The sequence below is a fragment of the Homo sapiens genome, chromosome 18 (genome assembly GCF_000001405.40).
Source record: "Homo sapiens chromosome 18, GRCh38.p14 Primary Assembly".
Taxonomy (NCBI): Eukaryota; Metazoa; Chordata; class Mammalia; order Primates; family Hominidae; genus Homo; species Homo sapiens.
In genome coordinates, this window is record NC_000018.10 from 50,054,605 (window position 1) to 50,079,859 (window position 25,255).

At 43.9% G+C, this 25,255-nt stretch overlaps 1 protein-coding gene and 1 pseudogene across 1 annotated transcript in view, besides 2 other annotated features; one reads left to right on the forward strand and one right to left on the reverse strand.

Moving 5' to 3' along the window:
* The window catches only part of MYO5B (myosin VB), a 372,359-nt gene that overhangs the window by 231,816 nt on the left and 115,288 nt on the right, over positions 1–25,255 (reverse strand). Inside the window, exon 2 of the mRNA NM_001080467.3 lies at positions 664–774. Coding sequence (NP_001073936.1) covers positions 664–774 — 111 coding nt within the window. The remainder of the gene's footprint in view (positions 1–663; positions 775–25,255) is intronic.
* On the forward strand, positions 9,188–9,882 carry ADAD1P2 (adenosine deaminase domain containing 1 pseudogene 2; annotated as a pseudogene).
* Positions 19,605–20,151: an enhancer, noted in NCBI's record as "NANOG hESC enhancer chr18:47600579-47601125 (GRCh37/hg19 assembly coordinates)". NCBI's record gives its function as "activates a minimal SCP1, AML or CMV promoter by ChIP-STARR-seq in naive H9 embryonic stem cells {active_cell/tissue: H9 hESC(naive)}" and the evidence as "EXISTENCE:reporter gene assay evidence [ECO:0000049][PMID:30033119]".
* Positions 21,175–21,469: a silencer, noted in NCBI's record as "tiled region #3103; K562 Repressive non-DNase unmatched - State 24:Quies, heterochromatin/dead zone". NCBI's record gives its function as "represses a minimal TATA promoter and a strong SV40 promoter by Sharpr-MPRA in K562 cells {active_cell/tissue: K562}" and the evidence as "EXISTENCE:reporter gene assay evidence [ECO:0000049][PMID:27701403]".

The window sequence follows — 25,255 nt, forward strand, 5'->3', positions numbered from 1 at the left end:
ACTAAATCAGACATATTAGGAGGAATAGAATTTCATAGTTACTACCTTGTCTTCCACTTGAAAGAAACAGCCTGAAGGTCAAAAAATAAAAAATGCTCACTACAGCAGCTAACACATAGGGAGCACTTATGTGCCAGGCACTGTTTTAAGTACTTGCCACATATTAACCCATCTTATTCTCAAAACAGCCCTAGATAAACTAGCACTCCCATTTTATAGATGAAGTAACAAGCACAGAAAGATTGTGAACTGATATAAGGTCACAAAACTAGTGATGGCTGAGCCAGGATCCCAACCCAGGCAGGCTGGCTCCAACCACTGTGCCCTGCAGGGACCCTTGTAGCAGCTCCTCTCCCTCACTTCCCAGTGAGGTCTCAACCTCCTGTTCCCTCCACTCCACTGAAGATTCCTGCCTTGATCACCAATGATCTCTCAGCTGCTAACCCCAATAAACACTTATTTTTTGTGTGACATCCATAGAGCAGCTTCCTGGCTTAGCACTTTCACATACATCAATAGCAACAAGAAAGAATCCAAGGGCTCAAGAGCTCCAATGTCCAGGGAAAACTCCAGCCCACAATGTACTATCTACTCCTGTTCCTTGCACACCTGAGCTCCCTGCCCCACCTCACCCCCGCCCCCCTGCCCCGGACTCACTCTTACCGTTTCATCCTCCAGTCTGAGCTGTAGGCTCTTGTCTCCTTCTTTGTAGTCCTTGGTTAACTCAGCTGAGCGCCATACCTCATCAGGGTCAGGGATCCAGACCCTTGTGCACTGAAAGATTAAAACAGAAGAAACTTAGATACAGAACAAAGCTCTCAGATTTCTAAATGTGTGTCACTACCTAGAAAGTGCCCATCAGGAGAACTTCTAAAGCTATCTGCACACATCTCCCCACCTTCTCATTTCAGGACACAACGTGATCCGATATCATGATAACAGGGGAACAACTCACAGGACTGGTAGCAGAGGGCACCTTTTAGATGTTAAAAGAACGTTGCAGATCAATGAAATTAAAATTCTACCCAAGAGACTGTTGAGCCTGCATTTGTTTATATACACTAGATATTGCACCATTATCTCAAAGGGTGTTACAAAATAGCAATGTCAGAGGGAGTTATTTAGCAGGCTACAAACAAAACAACACAGGGAAAAGCCAAGACAGTATAGCAAATGTTCAAAGCTTGGGAATCTCTGCTGATATTCTGCATTCAGAGAAAAAGTCATTTTCCTGCAGAAGTGAAAGAAAGTGGTCGGCAAATGGAAAGTGTATTTAAGTATCCTCAAGTTGTCAGCCACTTGAATTTATCTGTCCACTCTTTTTCTTTTTTCGGATGGGGTCTCACTCTGTTACCCAGGCTAGCATGCAGTGGTGTGATCACAGGTCACTGCAGCCTCCAACTCCTGTGATCCTCCCGTCTCAGCCTCCCAAAGTGTTGGGATGACAGACAGGAACCACTATGCCAGGCCTATTTGTCCATTCTTTAAGCCATAAACCCAAAACTTTCACTCACCTTCACCAAGTAGCTATCCTGATTTGCAGACAAAGTCACTGAATGGGGCCAAGTTCTGGCAGGAAAGAACACAGCCCTTGGTAAAGTAGTGATACAGGATTAACTGTCTGACTTGCCCAGCACATTCTCAACATAACTAGGAGGTTCCCAGCCCTACTTGCAGTCAGAATCACCTGGGGAGCCTGGAAAATATCAATTCTTGGCTGTACCTCAGACCAACTCAGTCAGGATCTGAGGTGACATAAAAGCTCCCAGAGACACTAATGAGTGCTGAATGGCAGCATCTGGATCTCCTGGGATCCTACTGCACAGCTGTCAGAACAATTTCTGCATTTTCATCTCATAGGTAGGCAACTTCCACAGGGCCTATTTTCTGTAGAAGCCGTCAGTACACACACATACATCTGGCTTCTTTGGCCATAGAATATTATCAGGAAACCTGAAACAACTGGTTCTTTTGACCAAAAGCTCAACCAGAACATGTGCTTGGGTCAGTATCATCCACTTCACTCCTGGAGTGACAGCTGAGCACAGACCCTGGGCCAGTCTGTCACCTGTGCACATGCGGCCAGCTGGCTTTACTTTGGTCCTGACTTTTTTTTTCAAAGCAGTGTTTTCCTCCAGGTAATCAGAGGCTTTTTTTTTTTTTTAAAGCAAGATCCTGACTCCTCCTACACTTGTCTCTAATATACTATGGAACAGTGAAAGTTGTAAGGCAACAGAATCAGAATACCAGTCAATGAGAAAGCAAACATCAACCACTTTGCATCCTTGACATCCCAACTCAGGGTACAAGCCAAAGTCATCTGTTTCATTACTAAGAAACAAATTCACAGAATCTTAACCTTCTCCCTGCTTCTTAAGCCTGCTGCCTTATGGCAAGATATTATCATATCTTTATAGTAAAATAATATAGAGCTTTAAAATAACAAAGAGCTTTATTGCATCTGAGAGCTCCAGAGTAAAATATAAGGAATGTTCTGAGGTACCTCCAGAGAAAACCTTCTGAGCATTTGCTGATCTTAACTGTCAACATTTCTTCTACCCCCAGGTGTCCTCACTTTCTCCACTATGGCTTAAGTCCACCATCCATCCAGCTGTGATGACCTTTAAAGCTGCTGTCCCTAAGCTTCAGGTGAGTGTCTGTCCTTCAGCCTCACCACAGCTCTCTTGTCACTGAGTTCCACTCCTGGGACTCCCCCTTCAGCCAGCATACCCAAGAAATTTTTACCTAAAGCAAAGTCTCCACTCCATGTAAATCATGCCAGGAATGGCTCAAGATAACAGAATGAGGAATAACCAGAAAGGAACAGGAAAATCCCAACAGGAACCGAACGGAGGTGATGTTGTGTAGATCCTGGAAGCCAGGGAGCCTAGTCCCAGCTCAGCCAAGGACTCTGCTGGCCATCACCCTGTGGCCCATATGCCACTCGTGGGGTGGTTAGTTGCATCCAGCACTGAAGAATCTCGTTGCCTGGCTTGATCTCAACTTTTATTCTAGGGGAGTTCATGTACCTTTCTAGTTATATAAATCTCTCCTCTCTAAAGAGACTGAGAGCACCTGGTAGGCATACAATTGGCTTCTCATATTGTCCCATACCCACAAAACCTATCACAACATAAGGGGCACAGTGGGACCCCAATGGTACTTTAGCTCCTTGCTCCTCCAGGTGAGGACCTCAGCATCGTCATCACCTAGGAGCAGGTTAGAAGCATAGAATTTCAGCTTCCCCCAGACTCACCACATCAGAATCCTCATACTAACTACTTACTCTTCCATTCCTGCAACATCATCTCACTCTCCCCTGCCTTTGAGAATATGTCAGCAAACTGCAGCTATGGGACAAATCTAGCACACTGCCTGTGTTGCCTGTTTTTCTATAGCCCATGAGTTAAGAATGGTTGAAAAAAGCTCAGAAGAAGGATATTCACATAACATGAAAAAAATCACATGAAAGTCAAATACTGATGTCCATAAATCAAGTTTCCTAGGAACACAGCCATATTCATTCATTCATTGATGTATTATCTATTTAATACTTTCACATTTTAATGCTAGAATTGAAGGCCAGGTGCAGTGGCTCATGCCTATCATTCCAGCACTTTGGGAGCCGAGGCAGGTAGATCATTTGAGGATAGGAGTTTGAGACTGGCCTGGGCAATATAGCAAGACCCTGTCTCTACAAAACTTAAAAAAGAAAATTAGCCAGATGTGGTGGTACATGCTTGTAGTCCTAGCTATTCAGGAGGCTGAGGCATGAGGGTCCCTGGAGCCCAGAAGCTCAAGGTTACAGTGAGCTACAATTGTGCCACTGCACTCCAGCCTGGACAACAAAATGAGACTCTGTCTCAAAAAACAAAAAGTAATGACAGAGACCCTATGGTTCAAAGCCATTTTAAAAACACAGTAGGCCGGGCACAGTGGCTCACACCTGTAATCCCAGCACTTTGGGAGGCCGAGGTAGGTGGATCATTTGAGGTCAGGAGTTCGAAACCAGCCTGGCCAACATGGTAAAACCCTGTCTCTACTAAAATTACAAAAATTAGCCGGGCGTGGTGGCGGGTGCCTGTAATCCCAGCTACCTGGGAGGCTGAGGCAGAAGAATCGCTTGAGTCCGGGAGGCGGAGGTTGCAGTGAGCAGAGATTGTACCACTGCACTCCAGCCTGGGTGACAAAGCAAGACTCTGTCTCGGAGAAAAAAAAACACATAGTAAAATGTTTACTATCTGATCCTTTACAGGAAAGCATGCCAACCTCTGTCCTTGTACTTACTATTTCCTCAGGCCACAGTGCCCTACCTTACTCGTCCATGTGGGCAGGGTCCAACTTCCAGCACCATCTCCTCACTGATCACTTCCTTCCCTGTTCCCTATAGAGTTAGCCCTACCCAACCATAAGCTGCCACTATAAATTCTTCTATGATTATCTTTCCTTCTGGTTTTGCAGTCATTTCTTTCACATCAGTTTCACCTCATTACAGCAAGATCTTCCAAATATACTGTTGGGCATCTTTGTATCCCTAGGATCTAGCACATCCTGGCACGGAACAGATGCTCACTAAATGTTCATGCTGAGTATAGGAATCAGTGAACAGAGAATGTGCATTCATGGGGCACCTGGTTTATACCTAAAACACATTGTGATAAGTACCATGTAACAAAGTATGAACATGGAGATGTAGCTCCTGAACCTAAGGGATGTATATTTAGTTGGGTCGATAACTCACATAAAAATATGCCCTAATGGGGTGATGTGACCAACTCCTAAGGAGAGTAACATCTATCCAGTGGAGAGAAGGAAGACAGGGAGAGAGGGGAAAACAAGTTAATGCCGACTTTGGAAGAGAGAAAGTTGGTAGCCAAATTCTTCCATGATGTTGAAAAGGATTTTGTATATGCAGATCTGATCAAGCAAGCTTTAGATGCAAATCTAGTAAATATTGGGCACAAGATATGTGTCCAGTCAATCTCCACAATAAAGACACGTGGAACACATTGAGATTATAGCAGTTCATTGTTAAATCAGAATGAAGTGAACCCCCTGTTCTGTGCAGGATGGTTCACAGCTGCCAGCTGCCACCTCCCCGCTCTGCCTCCTCACTTTTATCTTACTTTATGGATTCTCAGTTTAAAGTGTCTATAAATTACTGAGCAGGGCTGTTTACCCAATGTCATCCATACTGCATATAATGAGAAATTTATAGATCTTCCAAGGGTAATTTTAACCATAATCAAATTTTGCCTCATATGCTGGCTTTGCGAGATGCATTGCTTCTGTAATCAAGTACAAAGCAGTATATGATGAGTATAAAATATATGGCCAAGAAACAGACACATGAACTAAGAAGGGAGAGACAAGACCACAGTAGCTGGGAACGACTTGAGGAAGGCAGACATGACCTGAGGTTTGGAGACAGAAAGGATTCGGAGGGGAAGGGTTTCTTTTTGGAGCGATGAAAGTGTTTTGGTAACCAGACAGAGATGGTGGTTGCAAACACTGAATGTACTAAAAGCCAAATTGTTCACTTTAAAATGGTTAGTTTTATATTATGTAAATTTTTTCTCAGTTTAAACACACACACACTGTTCTGGTTGTAGAGATTGCAAACAGTATCTTGTACATGCTCTCTCCTGGCATCGGTTCACATTACTAGTCTATGAAAAAGCAGTAAAATATTTTCACAGAAGGCCATTATTTTATGAGCCAGCCAAACTCTCTAGAACCAAAGATCTGTGTTGCCTCTTAATTTTTTCTCACCTTCAAGGAATGTCTTCAAACAAATCTGACCACTACCAGATTTACTATAAGCCAACAGACTATAAGACAGACAAACTCACTCATACAACCCAATTACCATACCACTCAATTTGTCACTATCCTATTTTAACAACACTTAATTCCTTCATATCAAAGTAAATAAAATAGCAAGTCTGACCCAATTATCAAAGAAAAGCTTGTGATTTTTGGAAAGTTCTTTTGAAAAGAGCCCCACATATTTCCTAGAGAAGGCAGATGCCTACATCAAATGTAAATGCATTAGTACCAAGCTATTCTCCAACAACCTGTTCCTTTATTCCACTGCAGGGCCAGCTCCAGCAGCTGTTCTCCTACATACACAGCTGGAGGGGGTGGCCAACTATGACAAGAGCCTGAATCCTGACTACATATTAGAACCACCTAGGGAGCTTTCACAAATTCCCATTGCCAGGCAACACCCCATCCTACTTTTATCAACCTCTAGGGGTGGGAACCAGGTAGTGTTTTCTGAAGCTCCCCAGATGAATTCAATATGCAAGCAAGTTTGAAAATGTAATTCCATGTGGCTGACTGGGTAACAGATTTGAAGGGTATCACAGACCTTCATGTGCTGCAGGCCTCTCCCTACCAGTGTGTGGTTAAACATTAAACTCCAGCCTGCAGATTATTTCCCCAGAGCTAAAGAACTCTTTCCCAAAGAGCCCCAGCTAAAATGTAAATACAATGTCCAGAAGAGCACAGCATTTATCCATATATATGAATTATCAGGCTGTAGCACTGTGGTCAAGTGTGCGGGCTCTAGAGTCAAACAGCTTCGGAGAGGAATTCTAACCACCATTTATTAGCTTGTGTAAGTTGATGAATGGGTCTGAGCCCCAGTTTCCTTAGCTGAACAACAGGTAAAAGTTCTACCTACCTCGTGAAGTGTTCTAAGAATTAAATGAGAGCCCACTATCACAGCACATAAGTATTAGGCAATGATGATGATGATGGTGATATTACTATACAGTTTTGTCGAGAAATCCTGATGGGATTTTGGATAGAATTAGAAAATGAGAAAAGGAAAATAAGAAACCTAAGGTGGTCCATGTTACTGGGATCCTTTAGATGTCCTGTAGGTCATAATACATAGGTAGCCACATCTTACCTTAAAAATCAATACCTACTTCTAGCCTACTTCTACTCCAAAAACCTGAGAGAATTGATTCTCAGTGCTGGCTGGCATACAAGAATTATCTGCAGATCTTCAGATCTTTAAAAAACAAAACCACTAACACCCATATCCCACACTTGAATAGTTAAATCTTTGGGGGTAGGGCCCAAACACTGTATTTTTAAAAAACTTCCCAAGTGATGAATGCACTGTCAGAATTAAAACTCCTATCTCAGAGTGAACCTCAGGAGCCAAGGTGGACCTTCAGGGAGAAGAGAACAGGGACATTTGAAACCTGCACTCCCTGGAATTAATAATAATGCTACTTCCATCCCCTCCTACTAACATAAGTAATCTTAAGTATTTGAGTCATTTCAACTTAGTTTCAAAACTGAATTAGGTTGAGCAGGGTTATCAATCCTCTTTTATACAGGAGAAACCTGAGGGTTAAAAGTACTGAACAATTTGCCCAAGTTGCCAAGAGCTTAGTCAAAAGCAGGCCTGGAGAAAAGATCTCAGTCTCTAAGTCCTCCACTGTCTACCCCACTCCTGGAGAAATATTGATTTGTTTACAGCAGCCCAGAGTCCTGCTGAGTATGTATTTTATACAGGTAAAGTGCTTTGTAATTACACATGAAAAAAAAAAATGTACAAATGCCAATTAACAACGATACGCCAAGTTAAGCCACAGGTAGTTTCAGCATTAAGCATCAGACAGGCTGATGTTTCAGTTGCAACAACGCCTTGACCGGAAGCAGGGCAGTCTGGGCAGAGTTCCCTGGGAATGGACAAGGGATCCCACAGCCTAACTTGATAGCTGGCAGTATAAACTCCCTGTCCATTCCTGTGATTAGGGGACCAAGAACAGGAACACTGGTCTGTTCAGAAGAAAGAAGGAAGAAAAAACATTTCTAAACTAATAGTTTCATTTAACACCAGCAAAACAGCAGTTTCCCAAGTGGCTTGGTACCTGGAAGGATACTGCTGTGTTGTAGGAACTATGAAAACACCTTACCTAACTGTGCTTGCACAAAGTGGGACACACTCCACTCTTTTGCAAGGTAAGAATTTAGAAGATAAAGATTAATTAAGCCCTGCACCCCCTCCCAGTAGAACTCACAATCATTTCTACAGGTACCGCTGTCTGAAGGAGTGTTCATGGGCCCAGACACCGCATCCTGAACCCAGTGGTGATGATTAGTCCTGCAAATTTGGGGAGCCCAAATCAAGAACATTCCCATTGGTGTGCTGTTGGTCATCTTCCCTTCACATTTATTGGGCTGGGCTCCCACTATGGGAGACAGAAGAGCAAGGAGGTGAAGATTCAGATATAGGGTGCTGGTCCCCACTCCCATCATCAGGTAAGAGTCTACACTTCTGAGGCTCGGCTTCCTCAGAAGGTATTTCATCATCTGGTGGAAATGTCTTCTGCACCAGGGTTGTTGTTAGGATTAAATAATGTATATGAAATATTTGGCCCAGTATCTGGCACATTTTAAGTGCTTAGTAGTTCTTACTATGGCAGGACTCAGGCCCTGGGAGTGAATAAAACCAGAGAGGACTCCCTCTAGGAGAGCACAGCCAGCCAAAGAATCCCAACAGAACCATGTGCGTATAAAGTGTCATGGGAACAGAGAAGCTCAGCGCTTCCAGATTATTTCCCGAGTTAACTCCTCCTCCCCCAGCGGCGAGCCATGCTTCTGAGTTTCCGTTTACTCATTTCCATTAAAGTCTTCCTGAACCAGTAATAATCTTCCCCTTTCCCCAAATGCTTTCCACTGGAAAGCTCCCTGTAATTTAGAGCCACAAGGAATTACATGTAAATATCCCATTTGCCCAGAGCCACCTAAGTAACTAAAAATTCAGGTATGATTTCTGAGCCCATTAGGTAGACTCCCAAGTCCCACCCAGATGCCTCCCTATCTTGCTGCTGTTTTCTCTTAAATGACAGAGAACTAGGGTATGCAGAGCACCAGGAGAAAGAACTATAACATAATATACACAGACGGGGACAGCAGAGAGCCACTGAGCAACCTCGGGGGAGAGGAGAAAAAAGCAGAGAAGAAAGAGTCGCTCTGATGCGGTAACTGCATAGTCACATAGCACAATTATAATAATATTCAACATTTCCTATCATTTAAATGAAACAAAAGTCAATTATAACCAAAAGGCAAATCCACATGCTATGGTATCGTATGTATCGTATCATCTCAACCCAGTCTCTTCAGAAAAGAGTCAACTTTCTGTGATATCTCATTGTGTCAGTCACAATTCCATTTATCACACATTCTATATCTATATTTGAAGCTAATAAGGAATCGAGTCTCCATGTGGCTGATGAAGGCAAAATTTACCTGTTTACTGCCCTATGAATGTAGTTAACAGAGTAAGCAGTGTGTCCTCAGGTGATGAACTGACAAGATGGGAAGCGTTTGGTGTACAAGGAACACTGCTGAATCATTTTATCCAACTGGTTTATACCAGTAGTATACTTGTTGGTGAGGGAAGCAGTGATAGCAGAGGCTTAGAAATACTTATCAAGCAATGCGGTCATGCTCTCACTTCAAGACTTCCCACAATCTACTTGGACAACAGACATATCAGTTTAGTACCTTCTGCATGTCCACTTTCAATGAACTTGGATTGTAAATCCCCGAGTCTGAATTGAGCACAAGGGAACATTCTTTGGAGACTGTGAATGACCTAATGGCCTAAGTGGAAAGATCACTGAAAGCTCCCATTTAAAAAGGGATGTGTCCACAGTAAGTCAGCTTTTTAAGGCTGCAATGCTGAATCCATTAACCTGCTTGCCAAAAAAGCTAAAAAAGATTTCCTCAAAGCTAATGCATATCATGCAGCTAAAGGATATGTCCAGATCCAATCAAGTAGCTAAAACTGTTAAAATCCTACTTCCATAATTCAGCTCCTAGACTGTCAAACCTCCCTAAACAGAGCAATCAAGTATATGAATTAAGCAATCTACTATCATATTAAAAATCTTTAAGTCACTTAAGATAGTTTTCCAGAGCATACCACCTTCATTTTCAAAGCTCACTGACATAATCCAACTTTTAAAATCCATTTCTGATTCTATCACAGGATAGTTGTTTTCCTCTTCATCCAGTGGATTTACATTCTCATCTCTATAAAAGACCAGTATATTGCTTTCCCCAGAGAAACAACCTTAACAGTTTATGATCACCATAACACTTATTGAAAGGTCATAGCCCTATAAATATTTATGCAGTCTAAGTTTGCTTCGTTTTTCTTTTTAAAAACCTGTTCCATTCCTTGACCTCTCTAAACAACCAAAGCAAGCACTGACTGAAGTTATTTTAGGCTAAGTTCTCTTCTGCGAACCACTTCACTGACCAAAATTATTAAGAGAAAGCATAGGAGCACCACTCTTTCTTAAGAAATAACCTGGGGGAAACTGCACCTTGTATTTGGGTGCATGAGTTGGTTTGTCCTTACTCTGTCTTCAAGAGATGACCTATCTCAGAACTTACACACCTCACATACTTGCATCTGGGACTCAAGCGAGCTCTCAATTTTCCTTCCACAGGAGCATGTCAGTCTCCCCCATCTCCAATTAGTCAAACACCTATCTTTGAAGCTGTTCAATAAACATTCAACTCCTATATGTCCCTAATAGGTTACCAAGGCTTACAGACTGGACCATGGACTCCAGTTCACCTAATCCTCTACAAGTATTTACTGAAGACCTCTACACAACAGCCAGGCACTGTGCGAGGTGCTGGGCACAGTGAAGAGGAGACATGATGTCTTAGTCTGTTTTCACACTGCTATAAAGAAATACCAGAGCCTGGGTAACTTATAAGGGAAAGAGGTTTCATTCACTCAGTTCTGCATGGCTGGGGAGGCTTCAGGAAACTTACAATCATGGCGGAAGGCGAAGCAGCAGCAAGCACCTTCTTCAAAAGGTGGCAGGAAAAGAAAAAGTGCAGGGGAAACCGCCACTTATACAACCATCAGATCTCATGATAACTCACTCACTGTAGGCAAAGCAGCATGGGGAAAACTGCCCCCATGATCCACTCATCTCCTACCAGGTCCCTCCCTTGACATATGGGGATTACAGTTCAAGATGAGATTTGGGTTGGGGTACAGAGCCAAACCATATCACAGGGCCCTTCAAGGATCCCGGACCACATGCGGCTAATCTCCTGCAATGGTCATAAATGCATCAACAGCACCGACATTCACAGCATGTGACAGGGGACCCAACCCACTGTGGGTCATCGGGAAAGGCCTCACTGGAGATGATTCAAGCTGAATCCTAGATGGATAAGGAGGTAGCTGGGCAAGATGTGGAAGGAGGTGGTTTCCAGGCTGAGAGGATACCTGTGTGATAAGTCTGGGGCATGAAGGAGGAGGGCTCGCTAAGGAACTGAAAGAGGGCCAGTGTGGGTGGGAGACAGAGGACAGTGGTGAAAGGGGCTCAAAATGACACTGGCAAGAGATGCAGAAGCCAGATCCAGTAGGTTCTTGGGGGTCACATTACAGATTTTTTTGAAGTATTCTATAGCCAATGGAAAACTACACATGGATTTCAAACATGGGAAAGGACATGGTCAAAACTCCATGATAAAAATATCAGATTTACAGATGGAGTGTATATGGAAGAATTATTATCAGCAAGATAGTTCAGTCTTGCAATGTGCATAACCCCAGTCCCTTCCCTTTGTCCTCATATGAGCACTAACAATGATACGAAATCATGGACATCATTTGTCCTACCACTATCCCCATACAAACTGTCTTTGAAACTCTGCCCCTGAATATTCCTTTTTTATTTGGTACTTGTATCACACCCAATTGCTAAACTGCCATTCCCACCACACTTCTGTAGAAATACTTATACAGTTTTGAAACCTCCTTATTCATGTATTATTTCATGTCATCATCAACCAGGTCTACCAACTTTTTTCATTGCATAAGGCAATATGGAGCTAATTTGTTGTTTCAGAGGGTTGAATGGAAAAGTTTAATGCTAAGAATAGAGAAGAAATGTTCAACCTGGGTACATTAGCAAAACGGCACAATAATACCATCTAAAATTCTAGGATATCAGAAGGAAAAAATGTTCCCGAATCAACACACACACTGAGTTGCAGCCATGAAACCAGTTGTGACTTTTGAGCTAGGAAAGTTAAGTGGGTATCTGCTGCTTAAATTACTATTACCCTAAGACCTTAAAAAGTTGCCTCCGATTTCCATCCTGCTTCTGAGATGAATTACTGAGCAGACACTATCAATAATACAGCCTGCCTATTTGGAACCGAATCATTCTCTGGAGAGCTCTATCTAGTGTTAATATCAAACAAATTGAGCTGTCAGATAACCATAGATCCCCTAGGATGACCACAGCTACCTCAAACTCCTCTAGGCCAAATGAACATGTTTTAGAGAGATTCAGGTGCAGCTTTATCCTGAAATGTCCTTTCATGTCCAGTTGAAAACTGTGTCTGCAACTTTAAAGATAACTGGCCTGACACTCTGTGTTCCTCATAAGAAAAGACTTAGTAGAGTTTAGGAAGAGAGAAGGAGAGATGAGATTGCGTGAAATGTACCCTTTATCCACTCTACTATGAAGATGGAAGGGGGAATTCATCTTAATGAGAAAAAGTAAAATGAGAGATGGGCCCCATCTTCTCAATCTAAAACTTTGCACAAAAAGAGAGCTGTCACTGTGAAAACCATTTGAGGAGTTATGAAGTAAATGGGAAGATCGGTTATATTTCCTGTTCTATCTGTACATGGGAGCTATGGCTGGACCCAAGGATTACAAGGAGAAGCCTTTGCCTGCTGCCTTCCTTCAACCCAAACCTGAGCAGCATGTACACACCCATCAGATGAGCGGTGCTGCCCTCAGAAGCTGTTGTTCAGAGTCCCAGTTACCATTGCTACTGCTATAGTTTGGATCTTTGTCCCCTCCAAATCTCATGTTGAAATTCAATCCCCAATATTGGAGATGGGGCCTAATGGGGGATGTTTGGTCACGTGTGCAGACCCCTGATGAATAGATTAATGCCCTCCAGGGTGGAAGGCAGTGAGTTCTCACTCTTAGTTTCCGTGAGAGCCCATTGTTAAAAAGAGCCTGGCACCTCCCTGCTTCTCTTGCTTCCTCTCTTGCCATGTGATCTCCACAAATGCTGGCTCCCCTTTGTCTCCTGCCATGAGTGGAAGCAGCCTGGGGCCCTCTCTGGAAGCATTTACTGGCACCATGCTTCTTGTACAGTCTGCAGAACCATGAGCCAAATACACCTCTTCTATCAACTACCCAGCCTCAGGTATTCCTTTATAGCAACTAAAAACGGACTAAGACAATTACTATTAAGAACAGTGACCCATGGGGATAGGTAACACAAAAGCACTCCAGTCTTGCTGGTGCTGTTTTCCTTACCAAGTATACACTACAGACATGTTCTAGAACACATATACATACATACATATATACACACACGTACATACATATATATATACACACATATACACACACACACACACACAACACTTTTAGAGTGGAAATATTTTAAATCCAAAGGAGCTCAGAATCTCTGGGACAACATAAGCAAACCCTATTCCTCAATAAAATTCTCACTTTCTTACAGATGCCTTACATACTAGGTAGCCAATAAAGCTTTTGTCAAATATGTGAGATTAATGGTAGATACTGAAATATGTGCACATCCCTATTTTAACAAGTATACATCTAGTTCTTAAAATAGAAACCCACACCAGGTGTTAAATCATCCAGGTTCTGGATACAGCCTGAGTCATACTGTATTCTTTCCACCACTTAGGTGTCAAAATAGGGACACATCCCAGATCTACAGCATTAGTTTTCCCCAGTGGCCCCTGCCATTGCCCTGGCTCCAAGGCCTTCCTGGGGTCCAAGCCCCCATAGATCAGAGTCTGGGAGAACATCACAAAGGACTGACCAAAACTCCTCCAACAAAGTTAAGTGATCCAAGCAGTCCCACCTTAAGTAAACTGGAAATGCATAGAAGGAAACAGAATGAAAGAAAAGGAAGCACGCTGGTTCTGGACACAGACCACGTCACATTTATTCTTTCCAGGATGACTGAGAATATGGAGCTGGAGATGTCAAGCAAAAGGCAACTGGGTCTTGGTGTGAAAGAAGAAGTGTGGCTCTGGTCAATAAGTTACCAAGGCACACAGACCTCCCTCAGCATCCAAATAGCAAAACGGCATTGGACAAATCATTCACATTCTCCTGACCTTGGTTTTCCCAATCAGTAGGTTAACTAAATTAAGCTCTCAACACTCCATTTGCACTTATCATTTAACCACCTTCCTGCTTCCCAGTAAGACGGTTGCCCAGGGCAACATCTTTAATGTCCACCTTTAATATATCCATGGAAAGGTCAAAGTTTGTGGCTCAACAGATAGGCCTCTCTCTAATCAGAGAGACCATAGAAGTCAATCAGTTTAGTGCTTTGTTTTCAGAATAAGTAGGTTCTATCATTATTTAGCAGGTAAGGGAAACAAGGCTCCCAGGAGGATCAGTGCCTAGCCCAAGAACACTCATCTATGGAGTCCAAAAACTGTCCTGGGTGCAAGTAGGAAATGGGTAAAAGGGCAATGTTCCCCGGTTAAAAAAAAAATAGCAATAATAATAACCATTGGATGTTTAAAACATACCCCTTATTGGCCATTCCCTCTCCTGCTATTATCTACTATCTGTCTGTGTTTAACAGAGAACCTTCTTATTTGGGTTAACGCTGAGCTCTGGAGTCTGTTTTCACTGCTGACGTAAGGATGAAGAACAGCATCATGTCAGGACAGAGTTCCACCACTCACGGCAGGGACGTTAAGCACCACAACATTGGCAAAATTTTCCCTTCCAAGTCCCAACATCCCATCCCCCGAGTCTTCAGTATTGTCCAGCCTCACCGTCCATTAGTCTACAGCTAGATGTGACACACTGTCCACTGTCTATTCACAGTATCTCTCTCTCACACTCATGTCTGAGCATGCTTGTCCCCGTTGCCCTCACTCCTCAGCCTGGTACCACTAGAAGAGCACTGTTTAGAGAGTAATTGCAGTTTTCAAAGGGCTTATGCAAATAGTAATTCCTAGAATTCCATGGGACAGGAAGCACAGGGATTCTTAGATACAGTTTACAGATGAAAGACACTGAGATCCAGGAAGTTAAGGAACCTAGATATGCTCAGATCCCTAAAAAAAACTGAACCCAGAAATAGACCTTGACTCCCCAGCCAGTGCTCTTTCTACTTCTCCAAGCCCAACCCAATATTCAAGTTTAATTGAAGAGTTCCAACCAATCACCAAGACCTGTTTGTTCATCCCTATTTATTCAGGCACCTAGAACATGCCAGATAATGTCAACATCAAACTCAAATTCAGGATCCACTCTCAACTTCCACTCTGCTGCCTTAGTTCTGGACTTCATCTCTTACCTGAAATATTGCAATTTAGTCTTTTTTTTTTTTTTTTTTTTTGAGACAGGGTCTTACTCTGTCACCCAGGCTGGAGTGCAGGGGCGTGATCTCGGTTCACTGCAACCTCTGCCTCCCAGGTTCAAGCAATTCTCCTGCCTCAGCCTCCCTAGTAGCTGGGATTACAGGCACCCACCACTACATCTGCCTAATTTTTTTGTATTTTTAGTAGAGACAAGGTTTCACCATGTTTACCAGGCTAGTCTTGAACTCCTGACCTCAGGTGATCCGTACGCCTCAGCCTCCCAAAGTGCTGGGACTACAAGCGTGAGCTATCGCGCCCAGCTGCAATTTACTCTTAATTGGTCTTCCTGCAACCAATTTGTTCCCACTCCAACTGATTTTCTAGACTGCTTGCTTCTAGAGCAGTTCTCATCTGGGGTGGGGGACAAAACTGTCCCCAGAGGACACGTGGCAATGTCTTTAGACATTTTTGATTATCACAAGGGTTGGGGAGAGGGTCCTACTGGCATCTAGTAGGTAGAGCTCAGGGATGCCGCTATAACAACATACCACAACACGCAGGATAGCCCTTGACAACAAAAAATTATCTAGTCCAAATACCATTAATGCCACAGTTGAGAAATTCTGTTCTAGAATCATCTCAAAAACAAAAACACCTCATCCTGCACGATACCATTCCCCTGCTTAAAAATGTCCATGTCATTTACAGGATAAGTTCATACAAGACTGTTCGCAACTGGCCCAAATGATTTTTCTGGCCACATCCCCATCCTACCTGCACCCCCCGGCCCCTGCACACCCCCACTGCCCCCTGCCTGCATACCATCTCATCCCACACTCCAGCCACATTCACCTGTTTTGAGACAGGATCTCATTCTGTCACCCAGGTGGGAGTGCAGTGGTGAGATCACTACTCATTGCAGCCTCCTCTGGCCTCAGCCTCCTGGGTAGCTGGGACATTTGGGCCAATTGCAAACAGTCTTGTATGAACTTTTGTATTGTTTGTAGAGATGAAGTCCCGCTATGTTGCCTAGGCTGGTATCAAACTCCTGGGCTCAAGCCATCCTCCCGCCTTGGCCTCCCCAAATACTGAGATTACAGGTGTGGGCCACCATGCCCAGCACTAACCTATTTTAAATCCTTCCTGAGCTTTCCTGCCAGTGGGCCTTGCTCATGCTGGTTCCTCTGCTGAAGATATCTTCCTCCCTTCCTCCACTGTTATTCACCCTTTAAGGACCAGCATAAACATTACTCCCTTTGTCAAGACTGTTTGTTCATGCTTGCCCCAGGGGTCTCTCTGTGTTTTTACTATAACAGCCTTGAATTCTACTATATTCACTTGTACAGATGTTTCTATTTCCTCAAGGGTAGAGACAAAATGTTCATCATGATGCCCCATGCATACAGGACAGGGCCTGCAAAGCACTGAAGCAGATGCTGAATGGACGGACGCGTGCACACACACTCTAGCACTATAGATTCTTGCTTCTCATAGCAAGAAGCTATGGCCTCTCTCCCACCAGAAAGGCTAAAAATAGTACTATCTAAATAACTCATCAGCACAGGGCTGTCACCAGCTCGAGAACATCTGGGCACAAGGAAGAGCAGCTCTGTCTTCAAACTCCAGCATGGAGTCTGATGACACTGCACTTCTCTCTGCAGAGTTAGCACAGCCATAGCTCCTGTAACTTCTAGGTCTTATCTGTCACTACTCCTGGTTCTGTGGGAATTTCTGGGTCCTACAAATTTAGAAAGCTCTGAAGCAATGGGTGTGTTAAATGAATACAGTGTTTTGTGTTTCTCTAAAACTAAATGGAAGAATGCCAAGAGCAGGATCCTTAGCACAGGCTTAAGAGCTATAGGGGAGCATCTGAGAGGAATTTCACTGAGTCCCATGCTCCAGCCCCATTTCTGTTAACAGGAGACAAATCAACAGCTGACTTCTACAATGTGCTGCATAACACAGACCATCTAGCTTCCATCACTGGGGACAAGCAACCCTCTAAGGCTTGGGCTAAAGGGAAATAGGAGCTAGAAGTCATCAAGGTCTCCTTGGTACCACTAGGCCCTGTTAATTCTCTAGGCACTCCCTTTGGAAGTTCTCCATGGACTTCAGAAAACACTGATCTCAGTCCTGTGGGAACTGATGTTATGGAGGAGGGACACTCTGTGGTTGCCCAGGCAAAAAGTGATTAGAGTATATATGCAACTTACATAACCAGGAACCATTTTTAAAAAGAGAAAAAAAAAAAACTAACATTTAGCCTCTGACCTGTGAGGACACAGACAATAGGCCACAGTCTAGCTGAGGCTCTTCCAAGCTTCAGGGATCCAGTCCAAAGTCTGTGGAGCAGCTGGTGAAAAAGCAGCCCCATTTATGTGGGAGAGAGACAAGAGTGAGTAGGGAAGGGCATCACATTCAGGGAGTGTAGCCTGGGGGGAAATTAGAAATGAGGGTTGGTGGTGTGAACGCTGGCCCCAAACCTAACTGCTCTGTGTCCTGGGATAAACTGCTGGCCCACGTCCTTCCTCAGTTTCCTCATTTGTAGGAGCTATCTTACCTCACAAGGGCATCAAAAGAGAATAATTCCAATCAGATACTCAACACCTCATGTGGGCATGAGATGACAGCACCAGGCACTATGGTGCATTCTAAGGTTTTTGCTAACAGTGTAGTTAAGCAGGCAAAGCATAAAAACAGAAAACATTAATCATCAATGGAAAGTAAGCAGCAGGACACACAGTTATTGGAAACCAGTACAGGATTGCATCTAGTGAGTGGAACCAGCTCACCGAGATGCCAATAGGGAGCTCCCACTGGAGGAAGGAAGAGTCCAGGAGGAAGTCCCAGAAGAGAACTTGGCCTGCAAGACCAGAAGCAGGAGAGCAACCAGGGCTCACATTCCAGGCTGGAGTGTGCAAGGAAAGGGCCCAACTAGGCCATCAGCTGAGTTGAAGCCAGGGATTTGTGGAAAGGTATGGTGGGAGGCAAGTTCCAAAAGGCAGGTTGGAGTCACATCGTAGCCAAAGATTTACTCCTAGCCAAGGGACTCTCACCTAATCCTTCACACAGGAGAAGCCAGAAGTTGACTGAGTAGTTTAGCGATCTGGATAAAAGAAAGTATACTTATAACGATCAAGTATTATACAAATGCTAATTGCTATCATTGCTATTCTTGGTACCTACTACTGAAGCTGGGACCTTGTCAAGGGTCCCCAGATGACAGAATAAAAATATTATAAACCACCATGAGGCATACCAGCAAATAATTTATATCAATTTTATCACTCAACAAAACTCTGCACCCAGATGGAACTGGCAAAATAAGAAAAGCCAAGGAAGCTAAGCAAATGAACTCAAACCCAGGTGAACTGGGAAGGACAAGCCCTCCTCTACATGCAAGCATCGTGAGAAGCCAGATTCCCAAAACAACTTGGCTTTCTTGACCACACTCCTGGCCTTCCTCCTTCCACTCTGGCCACCTGTTTGCTGGGTAGCTCCCTGGCTCCCCTCGTCCATGCACCTGTTACTTACCCCTGTCCCTTCTTCTGTGCATGTAACATAATCCTGCTGGGATCTTGTCCAGCCACATGGCTGCTACCTCTCATGTATGCAGCTGAGCCCCCACTTTCCCACTGAGATCTCAACCCTCATATCCAACTTAGTGCCCTTATTTGGGTATGTAATATGTAGATTGAAAGTTTTAAAAGCCAAAATTGAGCCCCTGAATCCTTTCCTACCCCTCACCTGTTTATTTCCTAGTCTTTCCCACCTCAGAAAATGATACCTCCATCTACTTTGGGGTTCAAGCAAAAGCCTGGAGATGTCATCATCCTGGCTTCCTATCTTTTTACCCTATTATCCACATCCAATCCATTGGCAAGGCCCATTCACTCTACTACCAACAGGTATCTTGTGTCTGATCCTTCTCCATTCACCCTGCCAACCCCCTCCTCTCCTAGACTGCTCCTTCTCCTTCTTACCTGGTCTCTGCTTCTGCTCTCAACCTCCACAAACCATGTGTATTAGTCCATTTTCACGTTGCTGATAAAGACATACCCGAGACTGGGAAGAAAAAGAGGTTTAATTGGACTCACAGTTCCACATGGCTGGGGAGGCTCAGAATCATGGCAAAAGGCACTTCTTACATGGCAGCAGCAAGAGAAAAATAAGGAAGCAAAAGCAGAAAACCTTGATACGCCCATCAGATCTCATGAGACTTATTCGCTATCATGAGAATAGCACGGGAAAGACCAGCCCCCATGCTCAATTACCTTCCCCTGGGTCCCTCCCACAACACATGGGAATTCTGGGAGATACAATTCAAGGTGAGATTTGGGTGAGGACACAGCCAAACCTATCACCATGCATTTCCTAAACAGCAGTCAGAGCATCATTTTGAAAGGGCCCATCGGATGTCACTTCCCTGCTTAAAATCTTCCACTGCATTAATAGAACCTGAACTCCTCAATGAGGCTCTTGAATCCTGCATGTCCTCTCTACCAACCTCATCTCTTTCCATCCAGCACACTGCAATTCTAGCTCGATAGGTCTTTTCTTTTCTTGGGCCTTTGAATCTGCACCCTGATCTTCTGGCTCAGGGAGTCTCACAAGGCTCTTGTCATGTAAATCTCAGTTGAAACATCGCCTTCCTTGAAGAGCTTTTCCCGACCAACTAATGTAAAAACAGGTCTGTTAATCACTTTCCACCATCCCCACTATCAGATTTTCTTATCTGAAACGATCAGGTTCATCTCTTGCCTGTCTCATGCCCATAAATATAAGTTCCAGGAGATTGGAGACCCATGGTTTTTTTGGGGGTTTTTTTGTTTGTTTTGAGATGGAGTCTCACTCTGTCGCCCGGGCTGGAGTGCAGTGGCATGATCTCAGCTCACTGCAGCCTCTGCCTCCCAGGTTCAAGTGATTCTCCTGCCTCAGCCTCCCGAGTATCTGGGATTACAGGCGCACCCCATCACCCTGTAGAGACAGGGTTTCACCATTGGTCAGGCTGGTCTCGAACTCCTGACCTCATGATCTGCCTGCCTTGGCCTCCCAAAGTGCTGGGATTACAGGTGTGAGCCACCATGCCTGGCCTGGAGACCTGTTTTTCTCAGTTACATCTCTAGTGCCAAGTGTACTCAGATATTTGTAGGGGACACCATTTGAGCTAGAACAGACCATGGGAGCGCATTCCAGTTGTCCTTGCCCCAGTGCTAATATTCAGGGGAGAGAGGGGTCTCTTGGGATTCCATGGGTATGGAAGACTGGAGAGACTTCACAGAAAAGAGGCAGGATGGAGAAGGAAGGAAGACATCTCAGGTGTGTGCCAAGACATGAAGAATCCAAGTTTTAAACACCTACATATACACAGGAGTATACCATGAATTCCATGGTGAAATTAACCTATCATTGCCCTTCTTCATAGCAGGGCAAAGAAGGCAGCAGGTATTTCCTAACCTTTGTCATCTAATCCTTATAACTCTTCTGGTAAAACATGAATACCCTCATTTCTGTGACTACTGGGGACTGCAGCCCATAGAAGGTGCCTCCCTCTCAGCCCAAGGCCATGCAGCGATGACAGAGCAAGCCTAGATCCTAGTGTGAGGTCCTACACTTTCCACCAGTGCTACACTGTGTTCCCCAAGACAGACTACAGGCTTTAGGCTTCTAGATTCAAAGAAGTGGATGCCAAAAGGGGAAAGAAGAACACAGGGCAGGAAGCCCAAGTCCCCTGAAAACAAGCTGTGGCACTCAGTTTGGATCCAGGAGAGACGAGTTTTCATTCTAACAGGAGCATGGAGCCAGAACCCCAGGACAACAGCTTCCAGCTCTTGGCATTCCTTCCTGCCACCACCAGTCCATTTCAAAAGAAGTATCAGTGGCAATGTACAGCTCTACCAGTAAATGCACATCAGAGGCCAGGCCATGCCACGCTGCAGAATGATCAGAAGGGCTGGACTTTGATTCAGAAAGTCTGACTGCAAACTGCAATTTGAATCCACGAAGGCCTCAAGGAAAACCCCTGTTAACCCTCCACTGACATCTCCTGGATGATCTCATTATTTGAAAAATAGTCTCAAAAGAAGTCACAGCTGGGAGGTCAACAAGAAAGAAGGGTTGGCAAGATATTTCCTTTTTCTTCTTTTTAATTGCAAAAGGCGTGCCAGAGAGCAACCTACAGCCAGAGGCAGAGCTCACTCACTGCTAAACTAAGGGAAAACGCTCAGGAGGCCGTCAAGATCCTTCCCCTGGCTGCAGAACTGTACGGAAAGTGAGCTGAACTGTAAGCTGACAAGGTTGAGGAGGTGGCAGTGGACGATCATACCATGTTCCATCCATGCCCAAACACCCTGAGAGTAAGGGGCACCAGCCACCAAAGACACATGACTTGCCTCAGTAGCATGAGGGTGAAACAGGAAGGAAGGAAAGGCGTGGCAGGAGGAGGGGAAGCAAAGATCACACAGCCATGGCAGCCACCTGGTGAGGCCTCCCAAGCGCTTTTCAGAGCACGGAATATGTCAGGACACACCGGCATCCATTCCTGTCCTTCCTGTCCCTGTCATGACATAGCCTTGGGCTTGTCAAATTCCTAGAAATGAGCAAAGGGGATCCGGCAGTTGGTCTAAATAAGACAATTCCAAAAGGTGGTCATGTGATTCCTCTCCTATCAACTAACCACGAGCAGGCGTGACTTCCACACCTGGTCCACTGCCCCCGCTGCCTTCCTGCTCCTTCTGGAAAAGCCAGAGATGCAGTCAGAAGCTCCCTGTGTGTGTCTCTCAATTGTTCAGAATATTCCCAATCGGGTGAAGTAATGTCCAGCGAGTGGCTTGACAATAATTGTGATGAAAACCAGTTGGGACATTCACACTTCACTTTCTGTTACACTGAACAATAAAGAAGCCCAGACTAAAAAACTGATGTTGCAAAAAAAAAAAAATCCAATAGTATAAAATAAAATTTTGGCAATGTTTCCTCATTAGAAATATTTTTTAAATATATTTCCTTTTTATGCCTGCAAAGATGTCATCAGTCTTTACATGTAACAGACTACTCTTTATGCTGTGAGGATGCCCTTGTTAAAATGTCTTCGTTTTTAAGAAACAGAATGGGGATAGTAAATGGCAATTGGTGTTTTTGCTTAGGGTTAATTTATTGTGGCAAAGTAAAAAAAAAAAAAAAAAAAAAAAAAGACAACTTACATCAGTGACTTGAATTCTTATTGTCGGTCTTTCACTATTTTTTCTAGTTCATGAAACCTAACGTCTGCTCTATGCGTTCAAGTTTGTATAACACACTATAGCTTTGCACATAAACAGGGTTACAGGAACCAGAGACGCTTGCTACTTCACAGCATGTTAGATTACAACTCGGAAGTCCCTTTCTAAGAGAAATTAGGCTGTAACTCAGAGTGGCCCTGCATCTGGATGCTTAAACCTCATGCCTACCATGAGATGCTAAGGTGATCCGTGATCAAGGCAAAACACACACACACACACAAACACACACACACACACACACACACACACACACACACACAGTAAAGGACTTCAATGGTCCAGCCCATTTCAGGAATGTTGCATCTCCCACTCATCTCCTATAGATTCATAATGCTTAACTACATAGTTTTTAAAATCTGTTTAATCAGAATTTCTTAATTACACCTGACAAAGAAGCTTTATCTTAAAACAACGCAACTTCAAGAGAGACACTTGTATTCCATTAAATGCACTTTGGGAAACAAAGGCACAGAGGAAAGAACAGTTGAACAGCAGTCAGGAGGGCTCTCTGCTGCTCACTTGCTCTGTAACCCAGGGACAAGACACCCTCTTCACCCTAAGGCCCACTGCAAGTTTCCGGTTCCTACATACTACAATAACACATCCATTGACCTTTATTCAGCACACTCCCAGAACTGGAAATTCCACACAAGAACTGCACATCCTATATTGCGGAAAAGACATATATTAGCACAAAAGGCATCACAGCCTGGACTTATTTCCTTGGAGGCAGGGGAAGTTGAGGAATCAAGATGACAACACAGAAGCTAGGTCAATACTGGAATCCTAGGGAAAGCGGGAATATTCCCTTTACCCTAAGTGAATCCATCTAGCTTGAGATCACATAAAGCCTATAGCAGAGTTCCCAAACTCAAAGATCTGGTTTCTTTAAACTAAATCCTTCCACAGGAGGTCCTACAGGGAAAGGAAATTGATCAGCACTTGGTACCTTCTCATAAATAAGCTTCAGATCCCTGAGCATCCTGGGAGTAGATTAGGTGCCTTTCGATCATGCTTGATTTACATCACTATATGCCATTTAGTATTATGACACAGCACAGACAAAGGCGAGAAAGCACATTTTGGTGGACTTTAAGGCAAATTTTTCTATGCAAGTCCCCTAATGGCAGGAGGGAGTAGATGCATACTGTCCACCCACTAAAATCTGGATTGACACATTTCACCTTTATAATGAACATGAATTTGTAAAAGCCCTCAACTTTAGTCATCAAGGAAATGCAAATTAAAAACATGAGATACCATTACACACACCACCACTTTACACTCAACATAATGCCTAAAAGAAAAGAAAACAAGCATTGGCAAGGATGTGGAACAAGCCTTTATTTTTATGAACGTGTCAACAGGTAAAACCATTTTGGAAAACTCTTCAGCAGTATCTGCTAAAGCTGAGCATAAGACCCACCACACCCATGACATAGCAATTCTCCTCCTAGATACATGCCCAAAAGCAATGCACACGTATGTTTACCAAAAGACAAGTACAAGACTATGCCCAGCAGCTTTTTTTTGTAAATGCCAAGAGCTAGAAAAAAACCCAATGTTCATTAACAGTAGGATGGACAAATACATCCCAGTATATTCACACAGCAGCATACTATACAGCAATGAGAAGGAAGAAGCCACCACTACATGTGACAGCAAGGACACATCTCATTTATAATGTGGACATAAGAATACATACTAAACTATTCCATTTGCAGAAATTTCAAAAACAGGCAAAGGTAAACAATGGTGTTAGAAGTCAGGACAAGTGACTCTGGGGAAGGGCATAGTGACTGCAAGGGCACACAAAGGAAACTTCTGGGATGCTGGTAAGTTCTGTCTCTTGATCAGGTTCTAGTTACATCGGTGGGTTCAGTATGTGACAATACATTAAGTTAGATATACACTTATGTGTTTTTCTGGATATAAATCTTACTTCAATAAAAAGTTCAAGAAAGTTAGAGAATTTTCCGTCTTGCTTTACACCCTCACCACATGTGTGTCTATATTGTCTCCCCCAGAATCTTTCATAACTCATATTCTAGGAAAATGTACCACACTTAACTTGTGGTATCTCTTCCTCCACAGAACGCTGTCCCACACTCTCCAGGTATCAGAAGATGGGGATGAGAGCATCCACCCCTTGGTCCTTGGACCAACCACTGCCTCCCTCTCACACTTCGACTTAAAAGACAGAGTGCTCCAAAATAAAACTCCTCAAATTCTCCCCCCTTGAGGCAGAGCCCTTCCCTCAAACCCTGGGATACAGAAATCACATTCCCTTTCAAATACCTGTTGGTCTCACTGGCATTGGAGAATATGAATGGATGACTATGAATGGCTGACTCCTCTTCTGCACAGCCACCTGCCACTCTCCAGCTCCTGGAAGAAGCCCAGGTCTCAAGGGAGCTGGCAGCAAAAGGTGGCATGGGATGGGCGGGAGCCTCTGTAGCAGCGGAATCAGACTGTCCAAGTCCAGGGCAAAGCATCTGCTATGTAACCCCTGGGCAACAGCCCAGCTGGGCCGTCTCCAGTTGAATGCCTGCCTGCCTGCCCTCCTTAATTCTGCCAG